A 20,525-nucleotide genomic window follows, 5' to 3' on the forward strand; every position below is an offset into this window, starting at 1 on the left:
ATGGAGAACACAGTGGCATCAGGGTGGCCAGGCCATGCAGCCAGGCTCCAGGAATCCCTAGGATCTCAGCACCTCCAAGGGTACCTGGAACATTGAGGCACAGAGAAAAACAACTGGCGTGAACATGCACCGAGCTCCCCACACGCTCTAGACGGTTTCAGGTATCTGCCTCTCAGGACCCCAGACTCCCCTGATTCAGTCTCCTCTTAGTTCTGACTCTAGTGCCCAGAATCTGCCTCAAGTTACCAATCCAGAAACTGGAAAAAAACATCTCCAGGTCCCCTGTTGGAGACCTGGCCAGAGCTTGTGCCAGGCTGCAGACGCCTGGCAGGGGGCAAGAAAGGGGCATACTCACTTTCCCCTTGTCCTGGGAGGCCCATGCACCAACACTGCCACCGCCGCCGCCACCAGGGAACACGGCAAAGTAGACACACACAGAGAGGAAAACGGGAAGGGTTGAGTGAACCTGGGACACTGCACCCCAACTTTAATGTGTTGTGGAATTCAGTTAGCTAATATTTTATTGAGGATTTTTGCATCAATATTCATCAGTGATATTGGCCTGTAGTTTTCTTTTTTGGTCTGTGTGTTTGATTTTGTTATCAGGGTAATGCTAGCCCTGTAGAATGAGTTTGCAAGTATTCCCTCCTTCTCTATTTTTGGAATCGTTTGGGTAAGGTTGGTATTAGTTCTTCTTTAAATGTTTGCTAGAATTCAGCAGTGAATCATCAGGTCCCAGGCTTTTCTTTGCTGGGAGACTTTTTATTACCACTTTGATCCCATTATTTGTTATTGGTTTGTTCAGGTTTTGGGTTTCATCATGGTTCAATCTTGGTAGGTTAGATGTGTCTGGAAATTTATCCATTTTTGGTAGGTTTTCCTATTTATTTGCACACAGTTGCTGACCACTAGTGATCCTTTGAGGTTTTTTTTCTTTTCTTTTTTTATATGGAGTCTTGGTCTGTCGCCCAGGCTGGAGTGCAGTGGCGCGCTCTCAGCTCACTGCAAGCTCTGCCTCCCGGTTTCACGCCATTCTCCTCCCTCAGCCTCCCAAGTAGCTGGGACTACAGGCGTCCGCCACCACGCCCTGCTAATTTTTTGTATTTTTTCCGTAGAGACGGGGTTTTACCGTGTTAGCCAGGATAGTCTTATCTCCTGACCTCCTGATCCACCCGCCTTAGCCTCCCAAAGTGGTGGGATTACAGGCGTGAGCCACGCCCCCTTGGGACAGGGACACACACACACACACATAGACACACACACACACACACACACACACACACACACACACACAGAGTTGGTTGTTGTGCCGTCCAGTCGCGAGTGTGAGGAAGGGACCAGATCGGTCGGGCAGAAAGGTGCTGGGTCAAGAGAGGAGGGGGCAGCCGGTAGCGCGGGCACGCCGGGTGCGCGCGGGGCGCGCCGGGTTGAGGGGTGAGGGGTGAGGGGTAAGAGGTGAGGGGCGACGAGGACCGGGGCGGGGTAGGGGCAGCCCTTTCCCAGGCGGTAGCGGGGGCAGTGGTGCTGTTGCCCTTTTAAACTGCGGCTTGACGGGAGCCGCGCCTCCTGTCGGTGGAGTCGGTTATAAAGGGAGCAGCCCCGCAGGCCGCCACATAGCTCCCGCCAAGTCCTCGGTGCCCCTTGCCATTTTCCAGCCGCGCTCCCACGAGGGTCACGGCGGCGGGGAGAGGTGGAGCCGCGAGAGCTCGGCCGGGGGCCCCGCCTGGTGGTCGCGGCCATGACAGCGGCTCGGGACTGGCTCCTTTTCCGCGCCCCTCCCGCCGGAGGTGAGGGGAAGATGTCCATGTCCGGGTTCAAGGGCAAACCGAAGTTACTGGCCTCTATCTTCCAGGAGAACCAGGAGCCACAGCCGCGGCTCACGCCCCACCGCAACATTAAGGTGAGTCGCCGGGTGGCGGCCTGGCGGGGCAGGGCGAGGGCGGAAAGCGGGTGCCCAGAGTCCCAGGAGAAAGGGGAAGCTGCCCCAGAGAGGCCGCGGTTCCCCGCCCCTTTCTCCCGCAACTGGCCCGCCCGGCAAGGCAGAGGCTTGGGTGGGAGAAGGCGGAGGGCGCGTCTCTCCAACTCCTAGCGCGGGGCTGGCTTGGGGGCTGCTGGCCCCTCTCGGCCCCTGTCGCTGCGCCTCGAGGTGGGAGCCCGCGGCTGCGGGAGCTCTCTTGGGACCCATGGTCGCCCTCAGTCAGCCCACCTGCTCTAGGGACCGCGACAGGGCGGGGCAGGGCGGCTCCCGCGTTGTTGGAGCCCAGGCGGGGAAGGGGAAAGGCCTTTAAGATTTTCGGTTTTTTGGCCGGGCGTAGTGGCTCACGCCTGTAATCCCAGCATTTTGGGAGGCCAACCGGGCTGATCACTTGAGGTCATGAGTTGGAGACCAGCCTGGCCAACATGGTGAAACCCATCTCTACTAAAAAATAGAAAAATTAGCCGGTCGTGTTGGCAGGCGACTTAATCCCAGCTATTTGGGAGGCAGAGGCAGGAGAATCGTTTGAACCCGGGAGGCGGAGGTTACAGTGAGCTGAGATCGAGCCATTGCACTCAAACCTGGGGGAGAAGAGCGAGACTTCTCTCTCTCTCTCTCTCAAAAAAAAGTTTTCTTTCTTTTTTTCTTTTTGTTGAGACAGAGTCTCACTCACTCTGTCGCCCAGGCTGGAGTGCAGTGGCGCGATCTCGGCTTACTGCAGCCTACCTCTCTTGACAGTCCACTGGTTAAAGCGATTCTCCTGCGTCAGCCTCCCGAGTAGCTGAGATTACAGGCGCCCGCCACCACGCCTGGCTAACTTTTGTGTTTTTAGTAGAGACGGATTTTTTAGTAGAGACGCGGTTTCACCATGTTAGCCAGCATGGTCTTGATCTCCTGACCTCATGATCCACCCGCCTCAGCCTCCCAAAGTGCTGGGATTACAGGCGTCAGCCACCGCGCCCGCCCTCTGTTTTGTTTTATACATGTAATATATTCACAAGTATCTTTACGAAGTGATTTTGATACTCTTTTGTCTTCTCCCTAGAATCTCTTTGTTCTGTAATAATTTTTTCTTAGTTTATATTGATCTTATTTTCCTTTTTAAAGCCTTTCCTTACATATCTATTCTATGTTGCTTATCATTTGTAGTTTTTTTATTTTTTATTTATTTATTTATTTATTTATTTATTTATTTATTTTTTATTTTTTTTTTTTGAGAGGGAGTCTCGCTCTGTTACCCAGGCTGGAGTGCAGTGGTGCAATCTGGGCTCACTGCAAGCTCCGCCTCCCAGGTTCACGCCATTCTCCTGCCTCAGCCTCCTGAGTAGCTGGGACTACAGGCGCCAGCCACCACGCCCCAACAATTTTTTGTATTTTTTAGTAGAGACGGGGTTTCACCGTGTTAGCCAGGATGGTCTCGATCTCCTGACCTCATGATCTGGCCACCTTGGCCTCCCAAAGTGCTGGGATTACAGGCGTGAGCCACCGTGCCCAGCCCTGATTCTATATTATAGTGAGTTGTACAATTATTTCATTATATGTTACAATGTAATAATAATAGAAATAAAATGCACAATAAATGTAATGTCCTTGAATCATCCCAAAATCATCTCCCCCAACCTTGTCTGTGGAAAAATTGTCTTCTGCAAAACTGGCTCCTGATGCCAAAAAGTTTGGGGACTGCTGGCATAAGTGGTCTCATATAGTAGTTGTCCTTTTGTGCCTGGCTTATTTCACTTAGCATAATGTCTTTAACGTTCATCCATGTTGTAGCATGTGCCAGAATTTCATTTGTTTTTAAGGCTGAATAATATTCCCTTGTATGTATTTAATATGCCTTTTTATCTTTTCCTCTGTTGATGAATACTTGGGTTGCATCCACCTATTGGCTATTGTGAATAGTTTTGCATTGCCTGTCTTTCTCATGATCGCCATCCTATTTCGCATCTAGCAGGTGTGAAATTCCATTGATTGAGTGATTGATTGAGACAGGGTCTGACTCTGTCGCCCAGTCTGGAGTGCAGTGGCATGATCTTGGCTCACTGCAACCTCCATCTCCCAGGCTCAAGCAATTCTTCTGCCTCAGCCTTCCGAGTAGCTGGGATTATAGGCATGCACCACTACCAGCTGGCTAATTTTTGTATTTTTAGTAGAGACAGGGTTTCACCATGTTGGCCAGGCTGGTCTCGAACTCCTGACCTGAAATGATCCACCTGTCTCCGCCTCCCAAAGTATTTGGATTACATGTGTGAGCCACTGCGCCCAGCTAGTAGGTGTGAATTTCTATGTCTTAGTGGTTTTGATTTGCATTTACCTGATGGCAAATGATGTTGAGTATCTTTTCATGTGTTTATTGGCCATTTGTCTGTTTTTTTGGGGAAATACTTATTCCAAAATTTAACTTATTTTTAATTGGGTTATGTATCTCTTTATTATTTAGCTGTAAGAATTTTTTACATATTCTAGATAGGAGTTATAACAACTTTCTTCCTTTTTCTGGATTGTCTTTTTTCTTTCTTGATGGTGTCCTTTGAAGCAGAAAGATTTTAAATTTTGATATAGTCCAATTTATCTTTTTTCATTTGTGTTTTTTTGCTCCTTGTGCTTTTGGTGTAATATCTAAAAAAACGTTGCTACTCCAAGGTCACAAAGGTTTCTGCCTATGTTTTTTTCTATGAGTTTTATAGTTTATCAATATCTCTTATATTGAGCTCTTTTATCCATTTGAATTAATTTTTGCATGCGGCATGAAGTAGGGGGGTATAGCTTCATTGTTTTGCACCTAGACATCCAGTTATCTCAGAACTATCTGTTGAAAAGCTTATTCTTTCCCCATTGAATTGTCTTGGAACGCTTATTGAAGATCAATTGACTGTATATGTGAAAGTTTATTTCTGGATTCTATTCTTTTCTCTGTTCATCTGTCCTTATACCAGTAGCACACTCTTGATTACTGTAGCTGTTTAGTAAGCTTTGAAATCAGAAAGTATGAATCCTCCAGAAAGTTTTTTAAGGTGGGTTTGGCTGTTCCGGGTCACTTGCATTTCCATATGAATTTTAAGATCAGCTTGTCAGTTTCTGCAAAGGAGCCAGCTGGGATTTTAATCACAGTCGCATTGAATATGTAGATCAACTTAGAAAGTACTGCCATTTTAACAATATTAAGTTTTCCTCCATGAACACAGGATGTATTTGTACTAATTTAGGTCTTCCTTTAATTTCTTTCAATCGTAGTTGTGTTGAATGCAGACCTACTTTGAATTAATTCTAAGTAATTTTTATGCTACTTATTGGTTGACAAATATAATTGCTTTTAGTTTTTAACTGTAGTTTTGATGTAATGTGAACTGTATTTGGACCTTGTGAAGCTTATTTCTGCTTTGAAATTTAGTATAAATTGGTTATAATAAAATCTGACTGTGCTAATTTTTTGGTTATGTGAAATAGAAAATCAATGTAAATTTAAAAATTTATTCTGGGCCGGGCGCAGTGGCTCACACCTGTAATCCAAGCACTGTGGGAGGCTGAGGAGGGCAGATCACAAGGTCAGGAGATCAAGACCATCCTGGCTAACACAGTGAAAGCCCATCTGTACTAAAAATACAAAAAATTAGCCGGGTGTGGTGGTGGGCACCTGTAGTCCCAGCTACTTGAGAGGCTGAGGCAGGAGAATGGTGTGAACCTGGGAGGCGGAGGTTGCGGTGAGCTGAGATCGCACCACTGCACTCCAGCCTGGGCGACAGAGTTAGACTCCGTCTCAAAAAAAAAAAAAAAAAAAAAAAAATTCATTCTGAAATGCGATAGATGTTGAAGCTCTTCTGGCAGATGGTTATAAAGAGGAATATATAATCATTCTATTGAGAAAATATAATCAATAATGTGAATACCTAAGGTAGTTTATTTTACATATATATCTCGGTATTTATTTATTTTTGAGACAGAGCCTCACTCCTGTCACCCAGGGTGGAGTGGAGTGGCACGATCATGGCTCATTGCAGCCTCAACTTCTTGGGCTTAGGTGCTTATCTCATCTCATCGCAGCCACCTGAGTAGCTGCGACTACAGGTGTGCGCCACCATGCATGGCTAATTTTTTGTATTTTTAGTAGAGGTTTCCCCATGTTGTCCAGGCTGGTCTGAAACTCCTGGACTCAAGTGATCTGCCCGCCTCGGCCTCCCAAAGAGCTGGGATTACAGGTGTGAGCCACTGTGTTGGCCTTATGTTTTATAATTTTTAAATGATACTTTTTATTCTATTACAAAACATATATAATTGTAAAAAACTTGTAAAATATAAAAGAGGACAAAGACAGTAGAAAAATTATTTACAATGTAATTCCCAAGTAAACACTGATTACCTTTTTTTTTTTTTTTAGAGCCTGTTGCTCAGGCTGGAGTGCAGTGGCACCATCATAGTTCACTGTAACCTCATACATCTCATACATTTTGATATTACTACTTCTGGTTTTATACATAATGTGTTCACTTTGAAGCAAGAGAGTATAATTTTATAACGATTATTTTCATTTAATGATCGTGATCTCATTGCAATTATTGATCATTTAGTTTATTCCTGAACATTTTGTTTTATATATTTTTGCTATTGTGAGTGGGATATTTGTTATAACTTGGCATTTGTGCCTACACTCAATTTACCTATAGGAAACTAATTTTTGCATACAATTGTTTTAATTGGTGCAGTGGCACAATCTCAACTCACTGCAACCTCCGCCTCCCAGGTTCAGGTGATTCTCCTGCCTCAGCCTCCTGAGTAGCTGGGATTACAGGCACATGCCACCACACCCAGCTAATTTTTGTATTTTTAGTAGAGACAGTGTTTCACCATGTTGGTCAGGCTGGTCTTGAACTCCTGACCTCGTGATCCACCCGCCTTGGCCTCCCAAATTGCTGGGATTACAGGCTTGAGCCACCGTGCCCGGCCTCGGCCTCTTTGTGTGTTTTCGTATATCTTTCATCTGAGTTGCAAGGGGCACCTTGGGTTTCCAGGAATTTTCTTAGCTAACTCTGTTCCTTTATCTATGACCCTTCCTCACTAGTTTTGGATAATTTATTTTCCTTCTTCCTTACTTCACTGATTTACTTTTCTATTTTATTTAGTTTGCTAGTCATTGTTTCTTTTAAGGTTCTTAAGCATAAATCCTTTTTTTTTTCTGATGGGAAATACTGGGGCATAGCACTAGGAATACAAATTATGTTTAAATAGAGCACAAAGAACCATCTCAAAGGAATAACTGATGGTGAATGTCTGGTGATTGATTTTATTATGTATCATCTCTAATGAGGCTTAATAAATAATTGAGGTTTAACACTTAGGTAACCGGTCTGTATTTAAGTCTGAAAATTTTTGTATGTTACAGTTTCAACTTCACATTGAATATTCTGTAAAGCAGAAATAAATTGATCAGCATTCTATGAATGAAAAATAAAGCCATGGGTCGGGTGCAGTGGCTCACACCTATAATCCCAGCACTTTGGGAGGCCGAGGCAGGTGGATCACCTGAGGCCAGGAGTTCGAGACCAGCCTGGCCAACATGGTGAAACCTTGTCCTAGCTACTGGAGAGGCTGAGGCAGGAGAATGACTTTAACCCAGGAGACAGAGGTTGTGGTGAGCTGAGATCGCGCCACTGCACTCTAGCCTGGTGACAGAGCAAGACTCTGTCTCAAAAAAAAAAAAAAAAAAATTAGCTGGGCATGGTGGTGCACACCCGTAATTCCACTACTTGGGAGGCTGAGGCAGGAGAATCACTTGAACCCAGGAGGCAGAGGTTGCAGTGAGCCAGGGTTGCACCACTGCCCTCCAGCCTATGTGACAGACTGAGACTCCATCCCTAAAAAAAAAAAAAAAAACAAAAAAAAACCATGCTGGTAATCGAAAAAGCAGTTTGCCTCATCAGAGTTTAGAACGTTGAATTGTAAAGATCTTTTTTGTAGTCCTAGCCAGTTTTAATGGTAACATGAGCAATTCAGTTACTTTCTCAGAGTTTTATATTTTTATCTGTAAAATGGAAATTATGGTACCTACAGTTTAGGATTTTTGTGAAAATCAAGTGAGACTGCAAGTGTCTTGAATAGCAGTGGAAGTACATTGATATAGGTGATATTTTACAGTGGTGTCTTCCTCAGCATCATATTAGTTCAGTGTTTTAAAGCTCTATATTAGTCACAGAAACAAAGTCAAATTTTTGTTCTCATTTCAGATTACAAGTGGACACCTGAGTCAGCAGGACCTGGAATCCCAGATGAGAGAGCTTATCTACACGACTCAGATCTTGTTGTCACCCCCATTATTGACAATCCAAAGGTGCAGAAAGCACTCTGACAAGTGAGTTGTAGACTTTACTGAGATCTGAAATCTGCATAAGATTTTCATTCAGAATATTATTTACTGTCTAATCTTTCCTGTTTCTCTTGTCCGCTACTCTTTCATTTGTGCTGCATGTCTGCATTTCCAGCTCCCGCTCTGTCTGCAACCCTTTCCTCTGCCTTCACTTCCGCTTCACTGGAGTTCTAAGTTTTCCCCCCTCTGTTTTGAATGAGTCAGCTCTGCTTCTCACTACTGCTTTCTTCCACATGCCACGGAGGGGTTGCCAGCCTCTTGACCTCAGACCTTAGCTCTCAGTCCCATCGTTTCTCCATCTGCACTAATGTGAATCACTCTAAGTATTCTAGTCTCTGATGTGTTTTGAAGGCAGAAGCAGTCAGAGGGCACTGCTCACCAGGCTGGGCTGGGCAGGCAGATCACACGGAAGCCCTGCCCTGTCACAGGTTGTTAATACTGCAGGGGAGATGGTGGGGAGACACTATGGGAACTTGAGGAGTCATGGTTCACAATGTACTTCTAAACCACTGTGAGTTTTTTTGCTTCTTGTCTTTTGGAATATAATACTTTATTGCTGGGGGATAATGAGTATTTACTTTAAAAAACAGATGCATTTCTAAGTCCCTCTGTTTTGTCTTGACTTCCAGCTCCCCAACATACTCACATTCCACTACTTATTCTCTATTTTAACTTTACTGCTTCTTTTACTTTTTTTTAGTTTTACTTTTATTTTTTATTTTTTTGAGACAGAGTCTTGCTCTGTCACACAGGCTGGAGTGCAATGACGCGATTTTGGCTCACTGCAAGCTCCGCCTCCCAGGTTCATGTCATTCTCCTGCCTCAGCCTCCCAAGTAGCTGGGACTACAGGTGCCCGCCACCACGCCCTGCTAATTTTTTGTATTTTTAGTAGAGACAGGGTTTCACCATGTAAGCCAGGATGGTCTCGATCTCCTGACCTTGTGATCCACCCACCTCGGCCTCTCAAAGTGCTGGGATTACAGGCATGAGCCACCACACCTGGCCTTCTTTTTCTTTTTTAAATATCTTTTTCTGTATTAATTCATGACTGTTTTTTTCTTGTCTCATTGGGAACATTAGTGTGGTTTAGAACAATGTAAGGGTTTTTGGATTCATGTTTATTTTCTAGATAGACAGCATTTTATATAGATGATTTAGCTGTTTTTCATAATGGAGCTAATTCTTTTTGTGAGTTCATATGTCTGGCAGTGTAACTTTATTATGCTAAGTTTGATGTGCATTGGCGCATTTTCAAAATGGGCTTTCTAGAACAATTTGTGATATCTTTCCCAGGGGTGTCCAGTCTTTTGGCTTCCCTGGGCCACACTGGAAGAAGAATTGTCTTGGGCCACACATAAAATACACTAACAATAGCTGATGAACTAAAAAACCAATAAAAAAAAATTGCAAAAAAATTCTTACGATGTTTTAAGAGAGTTTATGAATTTGTGTTGGGCCATATTCAAAGCCGTCTTGGGCCGCATCCAGCCCACGGGCTGCGGGTTGGACAAGCTTGCTTTACACAATATTCTGTGTTTCCTTTTTTCCTCTTATAACCATATTTGATAGTTTATGGGAAGCCTTCATCAGTGGAAATTTTTGTGTTTAACTTTTAATTCTAAACTACTTTTAGAGAAAAGATTAAAAAATAGTTGAGAACTCCTGTATAGCTTTTGCCCAGCTGCTCTTAATGTTCACATCTTATAGGTCTATAGTATAGTTAGCAAAACCTGGGAATTAACATTGGTATAGTGTTAGTCAGGCGGGATAATCCTTACCTGTGCCTCCTTTTGGAGGGCAGCAGAATGTGGTAGTTGGAATTGCATGATACTTGATTCATATCTCTGTGTAATGATGGCATGCAATACCCTGACTGCTCCTTTCGAATTCTTCCTGAAAAGGGAAAAATAAAACATGAGAATAGTGCTGCTAACTACCAAATGCATTTGAATTTTACCGGTTGCCTCTAATGTCCTCTTTTTTTTTGTTCCAGGATCCCACATTACAGTTAGTTGTTATGCCTTCTTAGTCTCATATAGTCTGTCCTAGTTTTTCACGGTTTTGTCAGAATTTCTCAGACTTTGCTTGTCTTTCATGACCTTGACAGTTTGTCTTTTATTTTGTTTTGTTTTGTTTTTTGTCACCCAGGCTGGAGTGTAGTGGCGCGATCTCAGCTCACTGCAACCTCTGCCGACCGGGTTCAAGCTATTCTCCTGCCTCAGCCTCATGAGTAGCTAGGATTACAGGCACCTGCCACTGCACCTGGCTAAGTTTTGTAGTTTTAGTAGAGATGGGGTTTTACCATGTTGGCCAGGCTGGTCTTGAACTCCTGACCTCATGATCCACCTGCCTAGGCCTCCCAAAGTGCTGGGATTACAGGCGTGAGCCACGGCACCTGGCCTTTGTATGTTTTTGTAATACATGTTATAAAACGTATGACTCAAGTCCTTGACACTTTGAAGAGTAACTGGTTGGGTGTTTTGAAGAATGTCCCTTAATTTAGGTTTGTCTAAGGGTTTCTCATGACTCGAATGAGATTATGAATTTGGATTATGAGATTAGAATGAGAATATGCATTTTAGTAAGAATACTACAGTAAATACAGTAATGCTGGTTACTTAATTAGTAAAGGTTTTAAAAATATTACATATAGAAGTTTTGCAGAAGTTAGGTATAGAAATGATGGTTGAATTTTTAATTAAAAGTCTCAAGATGCAGTATCTGGCTGTCCTAAGCTCATGGATCCAACTACATGGTTTCTTCACATTTCTCAAATAAATTATGCACTTTCCAATTCATGCTATTATGGCTTCCTTGAATGGTGTCTTCTCTGATATAATCATAAAGTTCTAGCCATCCTTCAAGACCGCAACCCACCTTCTACGTCTTCCGTAAACCCGGTGTCAAGTATATCAAGTAAAGTGCTTGCTGTATTCTCTAAACTACTATTTACAAAAAAAATTCTTTCTGTCCAGGGTTTTGTCTGTAGTTATGTCCTGCCTCTTTTGAATTGTGAAATATTTTCTTGTTTATCAAATGTTTGTCTCATCTTCCCAACCAGAAAGTCAGCTCGCTGAAAATAGGATTGTGTCTTTTATATCTTTGTATCCCCCTTAGCACTTGACATAGAGCCTTACCTTGGCAGGTAAGCAATAGATATTTGTTGAAAGACTGAATTTCTAATTAGACGTAAATTACCTAAAAAGTAAGCCAGGATGGGGTGAATTTTTTCTTTGAAGCTTTATTTTATTACAGATATCAATTGAAATGATTTTAAAAAATAAATTATTATCTATATATGTATGTTTTAATCTGAAAAGGCATCGTTCTTTTTGTTTTTGGTAACAAATTTTACACATTCTTTTTTTGTCCTCATTGATTTATTATCTGATATAAGGGACATATAAGGAGACAGATATCCATCTTTAAAATTGCCTCAAAAGTTTTTTTTTTTTTTAACCACAGATAAGGAAACAACCACCATCGGTTAAATTTGATGCAAAAATATTGCATCTACCAGCATTTTCAGGTAGGATCATAAAGGACTTATCGAACATGTAGACTGTCTGTATACAGATACGAATATGAAATTTATTCACAAATGGAATATTTGTATGTGAACAACTAAATTTATTTTGTCTTGACAATTGGTTATATTCTTGGGTCAGTGTTATGTGAATTGTAAATAATCTGTAATTCATTTGTGCCAGCTGTTGACATTTCTCAGCTGAGTCTGGGCTGCCCTGTCCTCTTGTGAGTGGGGAGGTTCCTGTAGATCTGGGCAAGTTTTCCTGTAGAGTGGGTGGGGGGCCTCCTCCCTTCCGTTCATAGAGCTGGTTGAATTTCCACCATTTATGGCAGGTGTAGGTGCACAGGGTTGGGGACAACAAGGAAGGATTGGGATTCTATTGGCGGGACCAGGACATTTGAGAACGGGACTAGGTGGTTCATGACTGTGGAGATGGTGTGGGAGTGGAGATACTTAAGGGATAATTATTACATTTCTGTTGAGCTAATGAAAATCTTATTTACGGTGAAAGTCAGAAATTTTTACATACCTTAAACTTTTTTTTTTTTAACAAATTATATTTTAAGCTGTTAAACTCAATTTGGGGAAAATTATTCATTGTGGCTAGAGTAGAATCTATGATTTGAAGTAAATTTAAAATATATTTAGGTTTAAATAAACCAGCTAAGGGTTTATATCAGTCAACTTAATTAGTGATAAAAACAACCAAAAAAACCTGTGTAGAAGGACGTTTTTGAAAGACCAAAGTGAAGCAAAATATTAATAGTGCTTTCAGTGCCAAGTAGGTCTATTTATGCAAACCTAGAGAATTATTATCGGGAAATACTATTTCCTTTTTCTTCTTTGAGTTACTTAGGAAATTATATTTACAATTTCTTTGTCTAAAGATTGAGATCAGCAAAAACATGTTAGCAAAAAATTTTAGGGAGTATCACATTTCCTAGATTTTGCCCTTTTTTTATAGGGATTTGGAGGTAGGAATTTCAGGTGATTTTAGCTATCATGTTATCCTCGTTATTTTTTTACAGTAATTTCATTGGAACTTTTTAATAACTGTGTGGTTTGTGCTTTTCTCAATATCTGAGAGTTGATTTATTTATACAAAGGCTTTTTTGTCTTTTACTCCAGTTGTATTGAACTTTGCATTTTGTTATAATCTAGGTTGTGAGACAATTCTGCTTTAGACATCTGCTTGGTTTGAAAGCATAGTTTTCCATTGAAGTGTTTAAAAAGTTTCCATGGATAGATAAAGAGATGAGGAATATAGAAGGACAAATAGAAGTAGTGTCATCTTTGGAGTATTTTTGGTGTTGACAGAGTAATGTTTTCTTTGTCCTCATCTTAGCTGTCGTAACTCTGTGTTTATTTCTCATGTAATGTTTCCAGCAGTTGTTTTTCTCATCATCATACTTTTGTTATTTTCTTTCCTTGGCAATGGATAAGTTATAATTTCTGAAAGACCAAGATTGGAATGACTTTTTGTAACAAGTGTGCTCGCAGATCGACTCCAGTGAGAAGAGCTCGGGGACCTCCTGAGCCAAGCTTAATCTCCTTTGCTGTTTGTGAGTGGTGGCTGGTCACCAGGAGGTGGCCACCAGGCTCCTCCTTTCCCCGCTGGTAGGCCTCTGTGACATGACTTATGCATTTAAATTTATGTTTTTTATAGAGGCTCAAACAAGTGCTAAAATAGCAATTTGATTTAACTACCATGAAAAAACTGATTTATCACGATTTTAGGTTTATGCAAATTATCCTCTGCTTAATCCTTACGTCTTAAAGTAGATAAGAGTAGACGGTGATTTTGAACTTTTTGTTGTTGTTGTTGTTTGTAATACTCAGGTTTCCATTTTATGTTAACTTGTAAGATTTTTAAAAAATATGTGAAATCAGGCCGGGCGTGATATCATAAGACAGACCTTTTACCTTCTCATCAGTGACTGGAATGAACGCCTGTAATCTCAGTACTTTGGGAGGCCGAGGCAGGTGGATCACCTGAGGTCAGCAGTTTGAAACCAGCCTGGCCAACATGGCGAAACCCCATCTCTACTAAAAATACAAAATTAGCAGGGCGTGGTGGTGCACTCCTGTAATCCTAGCTACTTGGGAGGCTGAGACAGGAGAATCACTTGAACCCAGGAGCCAGAAGTCGCAGTGAGCCGTGATCATGCCATTGCACCCCAGCCTGGGCAAAAAGAGCGAAACCCCATCTCAAAAAATAAAAACAAAAAACAAACAAAAAAAAATGTGATATCATAAGACAGACCTTTTCCCTTCTCATCAGTGACTGGAATTAACTGCCCATGTGGAACGGGTTGTGGGTGTTGGTTCCTTTACTGGGTCATCTGGTAAACTGCAAGGTTTCTGCTGTGACATTGAAGGCAGACATCAACCCTCTAAGACATTTTTTTCCTATCCTCTGGGAATATTACTTTTTGGACAATCTTGGTCCATTGGTAAGCTCATGGGAATTTGTCAGAGTTTTTTTGTTTCTTTTGGCTCATGTTTAGCATCGATTGGCAGAGTGTTTGGAGTCATCCTCAGAAAGGAATTACAGTGGTTCGGAGGTGTTTTCTGTAGTGGGCCCTCATTTGGGAATTGGCTTGAAAAAAATGTAAGTTCACTTGCTTCCAGGATGGTATTAAGATTGCTTTTTTTGATAGTTGGCGTGTGTCTATCAGGTAAGGGCTGTCATTTAGAGAATATAAAGTGGTAGGAGAAACTAAAAGTACTGTTCTTAGTTTTTATTTTAATCTTATTCGTATACAAGTGCCTTTGTAATTTAGCAAATATCATTTTTGGTGTACAGTATAAATTTCCTTTTTATAAAGATCTGAGTTTTTAACTTTGCTGTCACTTTCTGTGTTTCATGACTTAAATATTTTAATTTTTTCTTTTTTTACATTTACATTTTTTATTCTAGTTCCAATTGCTAATCCAGCATTTGTGGATAGCTGCAAACTGCGATATGTAAGTAACATTTACATTTTAAAAATTATTTCTCATGGTTTTATTAAGTAGTTACAGCATACATATTTATCAAAAGCAGAGTCCTAAGTAATTATCATAAATTTTCCTGATGTAATGATGAATTTACTCATAGGCAATTTTTATGGGCATTCCAATTATAAACTTTAGAATATTTAAAAATAGCCCTTCTCCTAATATAGATACGATTCTGGGATTATCTAAGCTACTCCTGGAAACTTTATTAACTGTTGTTGTTTTTTTATTTTCGTAGAGACAAGGTCTCTCACTATGTTGCCCAGGCTGGTTTCCAACTCCTGGGCTCAAGTGATTCTCCCATCTCTGACTCCCAAAGTGTTAGGATTACAGACGTGAGCCACTGCGCCAGGCTAACTGTTACTGTTTTGAGTATTGGTTATAAAATACTTCAACCCTGATCCCTGTGTATTAATTTAGTTATACTTCCTCAAAGTTTCCCTTGGGCACCCTTATCTGTCCCTATGTAGCACATAGCTTCCCTATGATGTTATTTATAATCTAATGAGATTAATTATGATTTATAAACTCCCGATGGAAGGAAGTGTCCTTACTTTTTATAGAAGCAACATACCAGGTGGAAAGCACCGTAGATCAAGTGTTAGAAGGCTCTGGGTTCCTGTTGCCTATAAGACTTGGCCAAATGATTATCTTTTTCTCAATCTCTGTTTCCTGGGGAGTGTGGGTGGGACAAGGAAATGGCATAGGTTTAGGATTCAGACAGACCTGGGTGTGGATCAAAGATCCGCTTTCTGGGCCAATTACTTTAATTGCTGAGCCGCAGTTTCCTCATCTGTAAAATTGGGATGGGATAACTACTTCATAGATTTTTGGTAATTATTCAACTTTGAATGTGGTAAATATGTGAGATACCTGGTATAGTGCCTGTTTCTTTCTTTCTTTTTTTTTTTTTTCTGAGTCGGCATCTCCCTCTGTCACCCAGGCTGGAGTGCAGTGGTGCGATCTCAGCTCACTGCAAGCTCCGCCTCCCGGGTTCACGCCGTTCTCCTGCCTCAGCCTCCTTAGTAGCTGGGACTACAGGCGCCCGCCACCACGCCCGCCCGGCTAATTTTTTTCACCGTGGTCTCGATCTCCTGACCTCGTGATCTGCCCACCTCAGCCTCCCAAAGTGCTGGGATTACAGGCATGAGCCACCGTGACTGGCCGTATAGTGCCTGATTCTTAGTGGGTATTTCATTGACAGTGGGGTTGGGGTTGTAGAAGTTGTAGTTATTATCATGAAGCTTGCTTATCTCATGATTGTTAGGACAGGCACATGAAAAAACGGAGGTGAAAGGATTTTGTGAATTGTGGCAGTGGTATAATAATTATTCTTCTATGCTGGTGAAATATGGGTGAAACAATAGGAGTTTAGAAAATGTTTAATAATAAGGGTAATTCTTATTATACGTCTTCTAATGTTACTCTCGCAAAATAAAATCTGGTAATAGAAAGTAGGATTTTTAGGTAATGGTTGAGCATTTAATACTTTGAGAAGGCTTATGGTATGCTCATTAAAAATGAATCAATGAAATATGTATCTAAACACTTTTATTTAAAACGTGTTATATACCTGAATGGGGTGCTCCCTGCTGACATTTTCAGACAGACATTCCAAATCATTTCCGAGAACAGTCATCCCTCTGTATCAGCCAGGAGAATGGTTCTAGTATCCCCTTGGATACTAAAATTAACACATACTGTTTTTTCCCCCACTGTTAAAAATTGAGGTTTGATTGTAAAACAGTTTTAATTTGAATAAAATGATACTGAGGTAGACAAGTTCTCTGGTAGGAATCTTCTTTTATTCTCTTTCTCCATCCAAAGCCACTTCCAGCGAGGTTTTCTCTGACCTCAGGTTATATTACCTTGATAGCATATGATAAAGGGTCCTTAACTTAGTCTGGGAGATAATTATTATTGAAGTAGATACTTAGTTTTGTTTTGCTTATAAAAAATTAGAATCACATGATATAGTTTTTTATGTTTGTTTTCCCCCATAACATATATATTATGTATTTTAAATGTTATCAACATTTTAAAATAAAATACATAATACTTAAGGTAAACGTTTTATATGTTGTGAATATCTGATCATTTTGTTTACTATTTTTGGATAGTATTATAATGTTGTAAACAACATTTTGATGAACATTTTTGAGATTAAATCTTCGTGCCCGCTTTTTCTTTTTCCCTTTAGGAAAGATTCATAGAACTAGAACAAATGGGTAGAAGGCAGTAAATATCTTTGTGACTTCTGAAAAATTGCTGAAATACTCTTAAAAAAACATTGTATCAATAGATAATCCCAGTCAATGTGTTTAAAATGCCTTTTGTTAGAACTTCCAACGTTGAGTATTTATCAAATTGTATATCCTTTTATCCTTGCCAATCAACTTTATGAGGTATAATTCATATATAGTAATAGTGTAATACTGTAACTTTAAAATGTGTTACTTGTAAATTACACATAATTTAAAATGTTCCATTTTAGCTATTTTTATGTGTACAGTGACATTTAGTTCATTCCCATTGTTGTGTAACCATCACCACTATTCATTTCCAGAACTTTTTCGTCATCTTAAACAGAAGCTCTTTACCCGTTAAACATAACTTCCCCTTTCCTTTCCCTTCCCCAGTCCTGGTAACCTATACTCTACTTATTCTATCTTGGTAAATTTGCTTATGGTGAGTACCTCATATTGCTACTGAAACATCGAGGGGTTTGGTCTAGGTCCTGTTGCTCACAGCGCAGAAAGCCAATCACGGAGACGATGAGTGTTGCTAGGGAACAAGGCTTCAATTGGGTGCTGCAGCTAAGGAGATGGGAGATCAATCTCAAATTTGTCTCCTCGACTGACTAAAACCACAGGTTTATTTAGCAGGGAAGAAATGTAACCATGTATGGGAAAACAGGAGTTAGGGAAGGGTGAGGGAGAGGAGTTGGTCGACAGGAAGCAGGTAGTTGGTTAGGCAATTGTGATGGGTGAGGTGGTCTGGTGTCTTATGGTCCAGATGTGGTGATCTGGTAAGTTTCAGTTCCTTGATAACTATCTGGGAGGCCTGATGGTTGGTTTCCCAAGAAAGGAACTCAGATAAGACAAATGTAACTTTCTCAAGTTTTAAGACTGGGAGGGTCAATTTCTATCTTTATTTTAAAAGACTGTAAACATCAGTTCTATAGGACAATTGGGCTGGTTTCATTTGCAAGGTTTATCCATGTTGTAACTAACATGTGTCAGCATTTCATTCCTTTTTAAGGCTGAATAATATCCCTTTGTATGTAATATACCACAGTTTATCTTTTCATCTGTTGTTGGGCACTGGCTTGTTTATATCTTTTGGCTATTGTGAACAATGCTGCTATGAACATTAGTGTTTTCACACCTGATGGGTATGAAGTTAGTATCTCATGGGTTTGATTTGTATTTTGTGACTAGTGATGTTGAACATCTTTTTTTGTGATTGTTGGCTATTTGTATATCTTCCTTGGAGAAAGGTCTAGTCAAGTCATTTGCCAATTTTTTTTTCTTTTTTTGAGATTGAGTCTCGCTCTGTCGCCCACGCTGGAGTGCAGTGGCGTGATCTCGGCTCACTGCAACCTCTGCCTCCCAGGTTCAAGCGATCATTCCATCTCAGCCTCCCAAGTAGCTGGGATTACAGGCACCTGCCATCATGCCCAGCAATTTTTGTATTTTTGTAGAGACGAGGTTTCACCGTGTTGGCCAGATGGTCTTGAACTCCTGACCTCAGGTGATCCACCCGCTTTGGCCCCCCAAAGTGCTGGGATTATAGGTGTGAGCCACCGCACCCAGCTGGTAGATTTTTTGTTTTGTTTTGTTTTCAAGAAGGCCTCTCAGTGGCTTACCTCTGTGCCATGCTTTGGAGTTTGAGCTGTCTTCTCTTTACTAACTGTAGCTCTGTAGGACTTGGGAGTCAACCTTACCTTCTTTTTTCCTCCCTATTTTGTAGGTCTTGTTTGAGTTAGCTTTTCTTTTTATTCCAGGCCTGTAAATTTTACTAGATTGTCTCTAGGAATTTCATTTTACTAATTTGCTTCAGCCTGCCTGCCTGCCATCTCTTTTTACTAATTTGCTTCTGCCTGCCTGCCTGCTTCCTTCCTTCCTTCTTTCCTTCCTTCCTTCCTTAATTCCTTCCTTCCTTCCTTCCTTCTTCCCTTCCTCTCTCTCTCCCTCCCTCCCGTCCCTTCCTTCCCCCCTCCCGTCCCTTCCTTCCCTTCTTTTCTTTCCATTTATTTTGAGATAGAGTCTTGCTCTGTTGCCCAGGCTGGAGTGCAGTGGCGCAATCTTGGCTCACTGCAACCTCCGCCTCCCGGGTTCAAGCAGTTCTCCTGCCTTAGCCTCATAAGTAGCTGGGATTACAGTTGTACGCCACCATGCCCAGCTTATTTTTGTATTTTTAGTTTAGAGATGGGTTTTCACCATGTTGGCCAGGCTGGTCTCGAACTCCTGACCTCATGTGATCCTCCCGCCTTGGCTTCCCAAAGTGCTGGGATTACAGGTGTGAGCCACAATGCCCAGCCTCCTCACCCCTCCTTTAGCTATTATATTACTTCCTAGATTTCTTCCTCTCTATTTCACCCTTTTTCTGTTCCTGAAACCCCTACAGGATGGGTGTGGGAGTTTGTGTCTCATGACTCTTCTTTCAAATTTTCTTTTGCTTTCTCACTTTCTCTTGTTTATTGAGATATAATTCACATACCATAAAATTCACCATTTTAATGTGTACAGTTCAGTAGGTGTCAGTATATTGAAAACTGTTCAACCATTGCCACTATCTAATTTGAGAACAGTTTTCTCACCCAGTGAAACCCAGTACCCATTCTTCTCCAACCCCTGGCAACAACTAATCTACTTCTTGTCAGCTGATTTGCTATTCTTGATATTTCATATAAATGGAATCATACAGTGTGTGGCCTTTTGTGTCTAGCTTCTGTCATTTAGCATAATGTTTTCAAGGTTCCTCCGTATGGTGGAATGTGTGAGTACTTCATTCTTTTTCTAGCTGAATAATCTTTGTATGGCTATTCCACATTTTGCTTATGTGGTCTTGATGGACATTTGGGGTTGTTTCCACATTTGGCTATTATGAATAATGGTGCTCTGAACATTTGTCCACAGGGTTTTGTGTGAACATATACGTTTTTATTTCTCCTACAGTGGTGAGATTGCTGGATAAAATGGTAACTCTGTGTTGAACCTTTTGAAGAACTGCCAAAGTCTCTTTGTTAAACTTTTATTTTAGGTTCAGGGGTACACATGCAGGTTTGTTATATAGGTGAACTCATGTTATGGGGGTTTGTTGTATGAATTATTTGGTCACCCAGGCACTAAGCTTGGTAAGGACCAATTGTTATTTTTTCTGATCCTCTCCCTCCTCCCACCCTCCACCCTAAATAGGCCCCCGTGTCGATTGTTCCCTCTTTGTGTCCATGCAAACTTTCTTCTTTTATTGCTCTTCCTTGACTTTATCTTTGAGCTCTCAAACTTGATATTTATCCCCACTCATTTTATTATTTAGGATTTCCAGTTAATTTTTTAATTTCAACAATCATATTTGAAAGTTTTTGTTCATTTTCTTTTTCTCTGATTGGTCCTTTTTCCTAGCTGCCTATATTTGGTATATAATATACTTTTGAATT

General features: G+C 41.1%; 1 non-coding gene and 1 pseudogene across 2 annotated transcripts in view, besides 1 other annotated feature; both read left to right on the top strand.

The window, feature by feature from the left end:
- ULK4P3 (ULK4 pseudogene 3) overlaps positions 1,624-20,525 on the top strand; it is a 28,017-nt pseudogene continuing 9,115 nt past the window's right edge. The window contains exons 1-3 of the transcript NR_026859.1: positions 1,624-1,900; positions 8,194-8,318; positions 14,784-14,830. The product of NR_026859.1 is annotated as a ULK4 pseudogene 3 (transcript). The remainder of the gene's footprint in view (positions 1,901-8,193; positions 8,319-14,783; positions 14,831-20,525) is intronic.
- On the top strand, positions 10,090-10,222 carry LOC124900359 (U8 small nucleolar RNA). The gene has a single exon (XR_007064811.1). It is a non-coding gene; the product is annotated as a U8 small nucleolar RNA (small nucleolar RNA).
- Positions 15,884-16,384: an enhancer, noted in NCBI's record as "H3K4me1 hESC enhancer chr15:30410195-30410695 (GRCh37/hg19 assembly coordinates)". NCBI's record gives its function as "activates a minimal SCP1, AML or CMV promoter by ChIP-STARR-seq in primed H9 embryonic stem cells {active_cell/tissue: H9 hESC(primed)}" and the evidence as "EXISTENCE:reporter gene assay evidence [ECO:0000049][PMID:30033119]".

The sequence above is a fragment of the Homo sapiens genome, chromosome 15 (assembly GCF_000001405.40).
Source record: "Homo sapiens chromosome 15, GRCh38.p14 Primary Assembly".
In the NCBI taxonomy this organism is placed as follows: domain Eukaryota; kingdom Metazoa; phylum Chordata; class Mammalia; order Primates; family Hominidae; genus Homo; species Homo sapiens.